The 13,795-nt window shown below is 39.3% G+C and overlaps 2 long non-coding RNA genes and 1 other non-coding gene across 3 annotated transcripts in view, besides 1 other annotated feature; 2 read left to right on the top strand and 1 right to left on the bottom strand.

Moving 5' to 3' along the window:
• The window catches only part of LOC101929380 (uncharacterized), a 127,874-nt gene extending 126,503 nt beyond the window's left edge, over positions 1-1,371 (bottom strand). The window contains exon 1 of the long non-coding RNA NR_105018.1: positions 1,325-1,371. This is a non-coding gene — a long non-coding RNA (uncharacterized LOC101929380). The remainder of the gene's footprint in view (positions 1-1,324) is intronic.
• The window catches only part of MIR4280HG (MIR4280 host gene), a 73,290-nt gene that overhangs the window by 677 nt on the left and 58,818 nt on the right, over positions 1-13,795 (top strand). The window lies entirely within an intron of this gene.
• Positions 3,879-3,978: an enhancer, noted in NCBI's record as "active region_22750". NCBI's record gives its function as "activates an Ori minimal core promoter by ATAC-STARR-seq in GM12878 lymphoblastoid cells {active_cell/tissue: GM12878}" and the evidence as "EXISTENCE:reporter gene assay evidence [ECO:0000049][PMID:35858748]".
• MIR4280 (microRNA 4280) lies at positions 6,565-6,640 on the top strand. Its single transcript, NR_036243.1, has one exon. It is a non-coding gene; the product is annotated as a microRNA 4280 (primary transcript).

Raw genomic sequence — 13,795 nt, 5'->3', positions numbered from 1 at the left:
TCAAGAGTGTGGGTGAAAAATGGATGACTCATTTCCGTTCTTTACTAGCTGGTCCAAGGCTGGCAGTTTGGTCTCTGTTGCCTCACTCTTCTCTGGTATGCAGTAGAAACATTCAGAAATAGACTTAGTAGCCTGGATATACAATGTCACCTGCCAAAGTCCTTCAATACCATAGTAATGAATAAAAAATGAATGGTACTAATTGATATATATTTCCTCCCATTTATTCATCCTATGTTTTTGTTTTTCTATTGTGTATTATTTTTTAAAGTACCAGAATAAACTAATGTCTTTGAGTTTGTGATGACTAATAGAAACAGTTGGATATAGAAATAATTCAGTTTAAGTCAGCCAAAGAAACACCAAAATGTTTCTGAGTAATTGGTTATTGCAGCCTTCTTAGTATTTCATTAGGGATAAATTGAGGTTTCTGAATCTAAGAAATTACCTGGTGCTTTTCAATACTGATATGATAGATTTTGATACCACTTGCTTAATATAGGAACATTTCCTGTTTTTCTTCTAGAGAACTCTGAATTAAAGAGAGAAGCAGAGATGAAAATAACTTCTCATTTGTGCTTTGAAATATTTCTTGTCCTAATTAAAATTCAGGCAAGCCAAATTTGATACCATAACATAGAGTCAGCCTGACCACTCAGCTTCCCTTAATATTCTGCATCCCCTCACCCTTCTTTAAAACTGGTTCCTCCAGTTTGTATCTGAATGATGCTATCATCACAGTGAGTTGTGCCAAACTCAGATTACTGTATGCTATAGTCATCGTCTGGTTTCCTGTCTAGTGAAGAAGCATTTCATGGTGGTTAATAGCACTGGCTTTAGTCAATTAGGCTAGGATTTGAATTCTGGCACTGCTGTTCATTGGCTGGATGACCTAGGGCAAGACACTTACTCTTTGTATCTCGATTTCCTCATCTGTGTTGATGTGTGAGACTTAAATGAGCTAATGCAGGTAAAGTCCCAAGCACAAGGCCTATCACCAGGTAGGCATTTGTTCATATGCTTAAAACCTATTTGAGTGTCAGGCACTGTTCTGAGCTCTGGGATAAAGCAAGCACAAATTAGACAAACTTCCTGCCTTCATGGTCTTTTTATTTTGGCATTCCATAACCTCAATTCCCTTTCTTATTTTCTTTCTTTCCTGGATGGCTCTGAGCAAAATAGTCATGTAGCAAAAAATGGGCACTTTATCATATTCTTACTCTTGTGTGTGACACAGCTAGTGTATTAGTCCATTTTCATGGTGCTGATAAAGACATACCAGATACTGGGCAATTTACAAAAGAAAGAGGTTTAATGGACTTACATTTCCACATGGCTGGGGAGGCCTCACAATCATGGTGGAAGGCAAGGAGCAAGTCACATCTTAGGTGGATGGCGGCAGGAAAAGAGAGAGAGGACTTGTGCTCTCTCTCCCGTTTTTAAAACTGTCAGATCTCGTGAGACTTACGAGAACAGCAAGGGAAGACCCACCCCATGATTCAGTTATCTCCTACTGGGTCCTTCCCACAACACGTGGGAATTATGGGAGCTACAAGATGAAATTTGGGTGGGGACGTAGAGCCAAACCATATAAGCTAGTGTCCGTGTTGCCCACCCTTGCCCACCAAGCTCCACCCATGCTCCACTTCCCCACCTAGGATGTCTTTCCCAGCAGTGCCTCCCAAGTGGGGCTTCTATGCACAACTTGGTGCCCTGCCCTATCCACACTCACCTGCATACTTTGTATCTTAGTCCCTGCCTTCTCAGTCATGTAAGTCAACTGATACTGAGTTTCTAGTAACTAGTATAGACCAAATATATACCCCTATTGAGAGCTTTGCTTAGTTCCCTAGAAATGAATCTCTAGAAATAGAAGATTGTAATTTGTGGAATATTTGAGAGAGGAGAGGGCTTCAGAGAAGCTGCTGTGTCTGACTGTGATCACTGTGTCGTTTGTTTATTGAACATAGGCTGTAAAACGACTTTCTTCTCTTCCCCATGCTTTTCCATGTTCCTCGCTCTCTCTCTTTTTTCTCTCCTATTTCTCACTTTCCCACGCTTGTGTCACTCACATTACATAAAATATAATATATAGTGAAGCCAACTTAAATACCACATCCTCCTTGAAACCACTCCTTCCCTTTCCACTTGAAAGAAATCTCCGTCCTCTGTACCTCTCTGGCCAGTCTTTCTAGTGTTGTCCACTTACTGGTTATCTTTCCCTCATTTCTCTGCATTCACAAACTTCATTCGAGATAAAACCCAAGTGGGAAGCTGGGAACTGAAGCCAGGTCAGGGCCTTTCAGAGGTCCAGCAAAACTTGGATCTCCCTCCGCTTTCCTCTTCTCCCTTCTCTCCTTTCTTTTCTGGAACACTATTTTTTTTTTTTTAAGCCCAAACCAGGTGTTAATATTATAACATAAGAAAGAGTACTTTTCGAGGTGGGTGGATCACGAGGTCAGGAGATAGAGAACATCCTGGCTAACATGGTGAAACCCCCTCTTTACTAAATATACAAAAAATTAGCTGGGCGCGGTGGCGGTCGCCTGTAGTCCCAGCTACTGGGGAGGCTGAGGCAGGAGAATGGCGTGAACCCGGGAGGCGGAGCTTGCCGTGAGCCGAGATTGCGTCACTGCACTCCAGCCTGGGCGACAGAGCGAGACTCCGTCTCAAAAAAAAACAAAAAACAAAAAACAAAAACGAGTACTTTTAATACAGTAGTAACCTCTTAATATAGTGGGAACCTGCAGGGGATATGTTCTAAGACTCCCAGTGGATGCCTGAAATCAAAGATAGTACAAAGCCCAATATATATACTGGTTGTTGTTGTTGTTGTTGTTGTTGTTTTAGACGGAGGAGTCTCGCTCTGTTGCCCAGGTTGGAGTGCAGTGGCGTGATCTCGGCTCACTGCAACCTCTGCCTCCCAGGTTCAAGCAATTCTCCTGCCTCAGCTTCCCGAGTAGCTGGGACTACAGGCGTGCGCTACCATGTCCAACTAATTTTTATATTTTTAGTAGAGACAGGGTTTCACCATTTTGGCCAGGATGGTCTCGATCTCTTGACCTTGTGATCTGCCCGCCTCAGCCTCCCAAAGTGCTGGGATTACAGGCATAAGCCACCGAACCCGGCCCGTAGTTTTGATATAATAACCCAGATGGCTACTAAGTAACTAACAGGCAGGTAGCATATACAGTGTGGATACACTGGTTAATGGATGATTCATGTCCTGGGTGGGACAGAACAGGCCGGCATGCGATTTCATCACACTATTCAGAATGGTGTGCAATTTTAAATGTATTAATTGTTTATTTCCGGAATTTTCTATTTAAGACTCTTGGACTGTGATACTGAAACCATGGAAAGCAAAACCATGGCTAACAGAGGTCTACTGTACATAAATTACAATGCAATATAATTGTGTTATTTATAAGATTATATGGGGTTATATTTAAAAAGTAATTTATGATATGCAATACGGTATCTGATAATGAGCTATTAAAGTTTGATTATAAATAAGATCTTAAATGTATACCAGAGACTGCATGTATAAACTAATATGGAGAGATTATTGGAAGTTTATTTTGCAGTCTATTGAGTAAGATCCAGGGTGAATGGTTCTTTGGCCCCCATTATACATTCTGTGTGGGCAGTAGTATCAGGTACAGATAAAAATCAGTAACCAAAACATTAGATGGATGAAAAATGAGGGTGATCACAGGAGGATGAGAAGCTACCAGGGTAGAATGCTGGAGAAAGACTGAGATGGTTTTCGGAGATGGTGTTCTTGTTAGCTCAAGGCCTGGGCACAGAGCTTGACTTCTTTGGGTTTCACAGAATCAGGGAGGCAGAGAACCAAGAGACCTAGAAAGATCTTCCCACAGGAAGATTGAATTTTCACCGTGGCAAAGGAAAAGTATCAAAGGAGAGTCCTGCTAAGAACAAAGCAAAGAGATTTAAGAGCTTAACATCTTTGGACGACGTGCTTTGGACCATCCTTGCCCATAATCCTTTTCTTTGAGATCCTATTCCCTATGTAGCACTGGTAATGGGCAGCCCTATGTAACTGGTGACACCCTTACAAGAAAACTGGTCTGCAAAGAGAAGGAAGAGGAAAGAAAAATTGTGCAGAGAGAAGTAGAAGCTAGAAAGCACATGAATCTTGAGAGGTAACTGAGTTGTCTCAGTTCTTCAATGGTTTCAGTTCCCATGACTCATGTTGGTACCATGCTATGGTTTCTGTGGATCTCTAGCATTGTATGAAGCTTCCTCAGCTTATATCCTATAAGTGGGGTCACTGTTTTTTTTTTTTTTTTTTGTCTTGAAAAGAGTCCTGACTAGGACAATAAGTGATATGTTGTTGAAAGTTGATGGCCTCTAGTTGTCTTGGGAACTTAAGCTTAGATACAGGGAGAACTATATTGGTTTTCTCACCCCAGTTAATATAGCCAGAGCTAGTTTTCCATCGCCAGTAGGGAGGAGTGTTTGGACACTTTCAGACAGTTGGGTTGGAGCTAAGATAAGGCAGAAGGAGATAATTTTTTTATGAGTCCTGGATAAATATTGGTGGATGTTTTGTTTAGGGTAAAAGCTAAGTTGCTGAAACAATGGGAACCTTTTAGTACAATGACTTAAATAAGATTAATATTTATGTATCTCTTTTGCTACAGACACAGTAATAGACGAGTTCTTCTCCTTAATGTCAGTTGCATCAGTTGTCCTTGTCTACATGGTCACTAGTACCATGATCATGTTCCAACCCATAGGAATGGGGTAAGGGGAATAGAGAGTGTCACCAAAGATTGAAGTCCAAAGATTTGTCACACACTACTTACAGTCATATATCAAGGGCTGAAACTCGCCATACCTAGCTGCATGGAATGTACTTTCTTAGATTTGTGGCCACACATGCTGCTAAACAACTTTTGGTGTTCGATTATTAAAATAAAGAGTTTCAGGGGACCATTAAGAGAATATCTGTAGCAAGCAGGAGCAGAACTAGAGCAGAGCTCCACAAAGCTTAACACAGTTTGTTTTCTCCTATTCCTCTAGCATTGACTGACTTTTGGGTTTTATCCATTTATTTGTTTACAATTTTAATTTACTTACTTGTTTTATTTGTAATGTGTGTTATTTGTGGTTGAACACTTTGTATTTATAATTCACTAAAAGGTAATCAAAATTTAAAATTAAATGTTTTACTTTTGTATGACCATTAATAGTTTTATTGGGTTTTAGAGCAGTGCCATAAAATTTCTAAAAAAAAAAAAAATAACAGGCGAGTTACTGCTGATCTCGCTCTCTGAATGCACTAGCAAAGAAAGTGTGTTTCACTCTGATAAGCCTCTGTGGACCAAAAATTTCTATTTCAAAGGAGAACGAAATGCCAACTAGTGGCTGCAGGTGGGGGATAAGTGTGGAATATGTGAAACAAATGTTTACAGTTTTTTTAATTATTCAAAAACAGTTGTGTGATAACTCTGCAGGGGGTCATGCTAGGACAGGCATCTATGAAGCACAATAAAGGCAACTAGACAAATCAAAGCATAGGAAGGACTGAGCTGAAAATAATGGAGATATTCATTCCTTTATAAATAATGTGTCCAATAATACCTTAATACTGCATAAAAGCTAGGCATGGTGGTGTGTGCCTGTAGTCCCAGCTACTGTGGAGGCTGAGGTAGGAGGATCACCTGAGCCAGGAAGTCAAGGCTGCAGTGAGCCATGATCACACCACTGCACTGCAGCCTGGAGGACAGAGTGAGACCCTGTCTCAAAAAACAAACAAACCAACTAACTAACTACTTAAAAAATAACCTGACTTTAAAACAGCAAAAATCCCTTGCTTTTCTACATTCGTTTTTTCTAGATTAGGTTTGTGAATAAGGAGCAGAAGAATAAAAATATCTCTGCCTCCAGGGGGTTACTGCCCCATTGTGGATATAAGAAGGCCATGGGATGTTCAGTGGCCTCTACTAGGATATGGCTTACATTAAATAGGACTCAGATAAGAAAGGTTCCTTGGGAGAGGTCAAAAGCGAAGATTCTGGGGGGAGATGGGAAAGAGTGAGGCTGCCGAAGTAAAGGAATGGGAGAATTACTTTAGATACACAGTGTCATTTATCCTTTACACAAATCTGAAAGTTGACTTCTTGGAATTTCTCTGGATCCCCATTCTGTTGCTGCTCAAATATTCAGTACTTTCCTGCCTTCTTGGCCTTGTCTAAGTTGTTGGTTCTGAACTGTTGCTTTGACCTTAGCATTTAGCATCAGTATTTTAAAAGTATTTCTTTTGTAGAAGGCTTCATTAGTTCCAGGCTTAACTTTGGCATTACCTGCAACTGAGCTATCACTGGGCCTGGCCCACTCACACGCCTGACCTTTATTTTCTGCCCAGCTTCACCTTAGATTTTCTAAGGCTGTCTTTCAATCTCTTTTTATTAACTGTTGTGTTCCACGTTTATTTAGCAGCACAAATGGTTATACACTCATTTCCATTGTGCAGAACAGACCTGAAAATGACACAGGAAGTCAAAATAGAAAGATCATTAGGAACTTAAGGTAAGGAATCAGGGTGGAGTGTAGTTCTGAGCAGAGCCTTAAAGGATGAGGTATGTTCAAGACTGAATGACACCTTTGTGATGCTATGGAGTGAAAGCAGTGGAACATGCTGGTGACCGACGGAAACAGTGCTGGGTGAGGAGGAAGGGTTTGGCAGAATGTGCCGAGTTGCCCTAGGTCTGAACCCTGGTTCTTGTCTCCGGATACCTGTGTGAATTTCCTCATTCCAATTTTGGATACCTCCCAGGATGACAGCTTTTCAGCTTCCTTGTTGACAGATTTTCAGGGTCTGTCTTTAGAATGATTAGCAGCTTTTAATATGTAGCCCCAAGTCTATTCTTCCATAGCCTGCACCCATCTTTTGCTCATAAAATATTTGGTATTGACTCTGTATTCCTTTGAGTTTCATTTTTGTTCAGTCTTAAGTAGGAATTACTTGGGTTCAAAGGGTGGGGAAGAAGACCTTCTTTCAGTAGAGAAGTCAAAGACAATCCAATACAGTATTCCCTCCTTATCCAAGAAGGGATATGTTCCAAGACCCCCAGTAAATGTCTAAAACTGAGGATAGTATCAAACCCTCTATATACTATGATTTTTTCCTATACACACATACCCCATGATAAAGTTTAATTTATAATTAGTCAGAGTAAGAGATTAACAATAACTAGTAATATAATAGAACAATTATAACAATATGCCAGCATCACTACTCTTGTGGGTTGGGGCCACTATTAAGTAAAATAAGGGTTACTTGAACACAGGCACTGCAATAGTGTGATAGTTGATTTGATAACAAAGATGGCTACTAAGTGACTAAGGGGCAAGTAGTATATACAGCATGGATACACTGGAGAAAGGATGATTCACATCCCGGGTGAGACAGAGTGGGATGGCACAGGATTTAATCATGCTACTCAGAATGGCACACAATTTAAAACTTGGGAATCATTTATTTCTGGAATTTTCCGTTTAATATTTTCGGACTGTGGTTGACCACAGGTAACTGAAACCATGGAAACTGAAACCACAGATAAGGGGGGACTACTGTACTAAACTTGAAGGGGTCTGAATTCTTGTTGGATAAAGTAAAACAAACACTGAGAAAATAAACTTTAACTGTATAAGACAGCAAAAGAAAAGCAAAGTATGAACCATGAATTGCTTTAAAACACAAACAGCTTTACCATGTAATACCAACCCTCCTTTTCACATTGTGATTTAGTTATTAACTAAATCCTGTTCTTTAGAAAGGTACCACACATTATTTTAGAGCACAACATCCACGTTTTAACCACAGAAGAGCACTAACATGGAACTCTCTGGAAGATGAATATTCCCAAATGTTCAACACATGGCCTGTGAAACCCAGTCCCATATTTATTTTTCATGTTACATTTGCTGATGGAAGTTATATCTGGAGTTAAAAGTATTTGGCAGATTCATAAGGATCCTTTTTAAACTAAAATTTGACAATGTCATTTTAGCATATAATGTCATTCTCACTGTGTGGAGATGTGGGAATGGAAAATATATCTGGGGAAAACACTGACACCTGGAAGGCTTCTGTCAACTTTCAACAAAAGCCTGCAAAAAACTGCAGATCAGATGATATGCAAATGTGTTTCAATTTCATGTACACCAAGTACATCGTATCCTGTTATTTTGACACACATTGGAAAATCATTTGATTACTTATCTTAGAATATTTCTTTCTACATGAATCTTCTCATTAAAATTTTTCTGATAACCTTTTACAATTATTATTTATTAAAATAGCAGTTTAGCTCCGAGATTTCCTGCTCTCAACGTTAGTGCACTTTATGCCTCACTGGTGTTACTTGTCATTTTCAGCTTTATTTACCTTTTTGCTTACTCTCTCCTATTTGATTATGTACTCCTAAAAGACAAGTTTCATGTTCATTTCACTAATTTCCTGTATAAGGTCTTACTTAACATTGGTGCTCAAAGGACCAAATTGTTTTGTGACACAATATATTTTTATTTTGTACTGTGAGCTCCTAGAGGTCAGAAGGGAATATCTCATTCATAACCCCCAGCACCTATTACACTCCTGAGTCTGCAGAGTAACTCAATAAATGATTTTCCTATAAAACAATAGGAATTGCATCCAAATGCTACATTTTGTCTTACAAGCCTATTTGTTTTAGTGCAAGGAATTGTGTTCAGACAAATCACAGGAACCACATGGAATGGTCCCATTGGTTCTCTAATCCCAACAGAGGCAGCTGTATGATGTTGCTAAGGGATCATAAAGCTCCAGAGACAGATCTGGGACAGGTACACAATTTAAATGGAGGCACAGAGGTAGATGCCAAAGAGTAACTATACATTATACTGTTTCCACATTCATGTTTTGGAGAAAAGTGTGATAAAAACAATTTTGTTAACAATTTTTAACTGCAACTACCGCAATTAATTTTAAGCCCCTTCATCATTGTTAGGTAGGGCAGAAGGAAGAGAGTTAAAGGTAATTATTTTTGTGATATTTTGGAAACTGTATGCAGTGGGTTGAGGGTGCCAACTGCCACATAGTTGAATCCACAGATGAGTGAGAAAACTACGCCAATGAGTTGTTACCGATAGGTCAAATAGCCTAATATGGTGGAAAATTGCAGAAAAGATTGCAAAAAAAAAAAAAAAAAAGTAAAAACAAACTAAAAAACTTTGATAATATAGAAGAAGCTGTTTGAAATAAATAAAGCAATGTAATTCTTAGTTTTGTGTTTAATCAAAACTCCTGCAAGGATCTTGTTGACTTACTACATATATCAACTAAACCTGTCCTGATTTGTGGGCAATTGATTGTTTGGGTCCTAGTTAGAGGTAGAATTAATAGCCATGTAACAGAACTTCTAAACATCTTTGTTAATGCTAAGAGAAAAAAGCACATGATTCTATTTTGCGTAAAACCAGTGGCTGATTTTTAAGAAAGAAGGAGGTGGCTTCTCGAAAATGAATCAGAGAAGTGAGATCTTTATATAAAAGTAAACTAAATTTGGTATAAAAAGAAAATAACTTGTAGAAACAGATGCATGATAAGAAGAGAGCATAATAAGGCATCCCAAGATTTCAAAAGGAAATTATTTTACTTAATTTGTTTTAAAATTAGCTTAAATTTGTTTCAGATTTTGGGGGAGTGGGAGGTTAATTTTCAGGATATCTTTTTAAATAATCATAGGTGGTTGTTTAGATTCTATGAAGAAACAGACTTTTTTTTTTTTTTTTTTTTTTTTTTGAGACGGAGTCTCACCCTGTTGCGCAGGCTGGAGTGCAATGGCACAATCTTGGCTCACTGCAACCTCCGCCTCCCAGGTTCAAACGATTCTCCTGCCTCAGCCTCCCAAGTAGCTGGGAATATGGGCGCCCGCCACCATGCCCAACTATTTTTTTGTATTTTTAGTAGAGACGTGGTTTCACCATGTTGGCCAGGATGGTCTCAAACTCTTGACCTTGTGATCTGCCCGCCTCGGCCTCCCAAAGTGCTGGGATTACAAGTGTGAGCCACCATGCCTGACTGAAGAAACAGTTTTAAAGTTCCATCTGAATTTTGATAGAAGTAATATCTATATTCTTGAGAAAATATCAACATTACATGGCAAAAGAGAGTCAGTAGTATATATAAAATGAGTGTGGTATGATTCTATAGGTGTGTAAGTGATGGCACCCTAATGTATTATCAGTGAGTGGCATACCTGTGTGTAGTGAACAGGTAAGGGTACCTGAACAGCTTCATGTAGAGAACTGCAGTAGGGTGAGGGAAAAGAGAGAGGAGAAGTAATTTTGCTTCTGTTCCTCATATCAATGTTATAATTTCTTAGTATCTATATAATGTGTAACTATTTTGTGATAAGCTTCACTCCCCTTATTCTCTTTTTATCTTTTTTCAGTTCTGATAAAATATATGACAAAAATGTGAGTAATATTTTTGTGCCTCTATTGCTTAATAATGATGAACTACTAATCCGGTTAATTCTATATCTCATGCCAACTGTCCACTTACTCAGAAGATCAGGAGGCTGGAGGCCCTGTCATTGGAGAGTCTGATTCAATCAGGTATGAGTATGCCTATGGAATCCATTATTTGATAAGCTCCTCAGATGGGCGTGACAGCCAGCCAGCATTTTGAGTCCTAAACTAAAAAGTTCTTTCTTTTTAATATCTCCATCACCCTTTCTCTGCAACTCATACAGGAGGCACAGTAATCCTTCCCCTGAGATTAATTTATCATCTCAGCAATGACCTAATCAATGTATTACCTCTTTCATTTTATATTTGAATTTTAAGATAGACTCCAAGGTGTTAAAATATAGCATCAGTTCTCTTTTGAGATCCCACCATTTCCAGAATTATCTAAGAATCCATGTGGAGTAATTCACTCAGTCCAAAAGGTTCAGTCCACTTCCCAAGGCCAGCTGGGGAGAATAGTGGAGAATTTAATCCATTTGCTTCTGGCAGACACTAGTAGTTGATGGATGCTTGCAGTTGTGCTCTTAGTGGCCAGATCCTTGCCTAGGGGCCAAGCTTCACACTTAGACTTTCTGGTTAGAACTCCCTTTATTTCACAAGTTTGCCAAAACAATGATGGTCCTGAGGGCTTCTAGACTAATTTTTTTGTGCATGTATATGACATAATCAGTTTTTTCTCAAAAGTCTATAGATCCTTACAATAATCCTATCACTTCAGCTCAGACTACCCTTTCATTGCGGTGAGTTGAGGTCCTCACTAGGCAGCACAATTCTCAAACTTTACCTTCCTATTAAAATCACCTGAAGGACGTATTAAACACAGGTTGCTGGGCTCCAACCTCTGAGTTTCTTACTCATAGTTGCTATGAACTGAACTGTGCCACCCACATATATATGTTGAAGTTCTAACCCCCGGTGCCTTAGAATGTATTTGGAGATAGGGCCTTTAAAGAGTAAGGTTAAATGAGGTTACAAGGGTGGTGCCCTAATCCTACATAACTGATGTCCTTATAAGAAGAGGAAGAGACACCACTAGATACATGCACACAGGGCAAAGGCCATGGGAGGACACAGCAGGGCAGAGACTCATCATCTGCAAGCCAAGGAGAAGTCGAATTTGCTGACACTTGATCTTGGGCTTTTAGCTTCCATAATTGTGAGACAATAAATTTATATTGTTTAAGCCAGCCAGTCTGTTGTATTTTGTTATGGCAACCTTAGCAGACTTATACAGTTGGATTGGGGTGGGCTCATGAATTTTCCTTTCTAACAAGTCCCCAGATGATGCTGATATGGCTGGTCTGGGGAGCACCCTTTGTGAATTACTGGGCTGGGAAATCTTCGTCAGGCCCACTTTGTTTTGTTTTGCGCATGTATATGACAGAATCAGTTTTTTCTCAAAAGTCTATAGACACTTTGTTTCATCCGAAGACCCTTGATGATCAGGAGGTAGGATTTTTATCCTTACGTTGAACTACTCAAAGTTAAAAAAGGCTCGGTTATGCTAGTGTCCATGACAGGGGGTGCATATTCACCTTACATCTGGTAACTAAAAGGCACATTGGAATAACTGCTTCTTGTTTCCACATACACAGAGAAGTTCTGGAAGTAGATTTTCCTATATTTTTTTCTTTAAAGTTATATCTTACCAGCAACTACTTTATATTAAAATACGGGATAACAGAACTGAGATACAAAAAAGAAAAATAAATCTCAATAATCTGACAGTAAGTACAATTCAGTGTAATTCAACAAATTGAATTGCTAGCAGATAATAATAACTGAGTTAACATGTTTCCTCTTCCATTTTATATTGGCATCTTACACTAGACTCCAATGTGTTAAAATACAACAAACTTTATGAATCTTAAGAATCACATGATGTCTTTGTTAAAAATACGGAGTCCTGAGCTACATTCCTACAGATTTTGATTCATTAGTTTGAGTGAATTTGGGAATCTTTATTTGTTATAAGGGCTTTTGGAGATTCTAATGCCGGTGGTCTGAATACCACCACTACATGAGAAACATGGACTTTGAGGAATAAGTAATGTGGGGATATTAATTTTTTGTATAAACAAATCAGCTGGGCATGGTGGTGCCTGCCTGTAGTCCCAGTTACTCAGGAGGCTGAGGTCGGAGGATCGTTTGAGCCCAGGAGTTCGAGGCTGGAGTGCAGTGGTGCAATCACGGCACACTGCAGCCTCAAACTCCTCGGTTCAAGCAATCCTCCCACCTCAGCCTCCTGAGTAGATTTTTTTTCCAAAAAAAAAAAAATAGAGGACATATTAGAAGATGTGGCTTTAAGTCCTACCCACCAATTATGACAATGCTGAACTGGGACAGCCTCCCTAGGTAAGATTTAGGACATGGAAGTGCAGAACATATCTTTGTTCTCTGATTTCTATGCACATGCTTGCTTCTTGGAGTTGAGTATGAACAGTTATTCTTTCAAAATTTACTAATCAGAGAAATATATCCCAAGAGGTGGAGTAGAGTGAGTAGAACATGGAGAGAGGCCAGTACAGGGGATCTCTGGACCTTGAAAAAACCCTCAGTAGTGGGCAGATAAGCTTCATCTTCCACTCCCCTCACCATTTCAAGAAAGTGACCACATTTGCAAAGGTGAACCACCTACTCAGGTTCCCATAGCTGGAAAGTGGTGGAGCCAGGATGGAACCTGGTCCTGAGTACCTCCAGAATCAACACTCCTGACTACTCTGCCAAAGACTTAGCTATATAGATGCAACCTTGTAGTGTGTGTGTGCAAATCCTTATACTGACAATGAGGGAAACTAAGTCCAGGTTAAATGTTTGGACGTCAACCGCGATAATCTGCCATCACGGCAGCCACTTCCTTTGGGTATATTTAATTTTAAGGGAAAAAATATATTTCCTGCTTTTTTGATTCCTGACTCCATTTCATCCTGGTATGCCTGCAGATGCTTCAGAATTACTTGGTATATTCCTGCCCTCAAAGAGTTGTAGTGGTCTTCGGTTTCTCATAAATATAAGACTGCTATATTACTGTGTTAAAACTCAGAGTTACTGGGCTGAATAAGCACAGAAGCACATTGTTTCTCAGCATTTACAGTTCTTTTTAGTTAAATGCTACATTCTTTAGAGTTTTGGGAGAACTCATTCCCTTTAAATCTCACCACAACTGTGAATTTGGAAATTAGATGAAAAAAAAAAGCTTATGAAAGTAAAATTCATATTCACTTCATATTCACACATACACACACACAAT

This window comes from Homo sapiens, chromosome 5, assembly GCF_000001405.40.
Source record: "Homo sapiens chromosome 5, GRCh38.p14 Primary Assembly".
In the NCBI taxonomy this organism is placed as follows: Eukaryota; Metazoa; Chordata; class Mammalia; order Primates; family Hominidae; genus Homo; species Homo sapiens.
The sequence above is the reverse complement of the archived record's forward strand: the minus strand, read 5'-3'. Positions and strand labels throughout refer to the sequence as shown.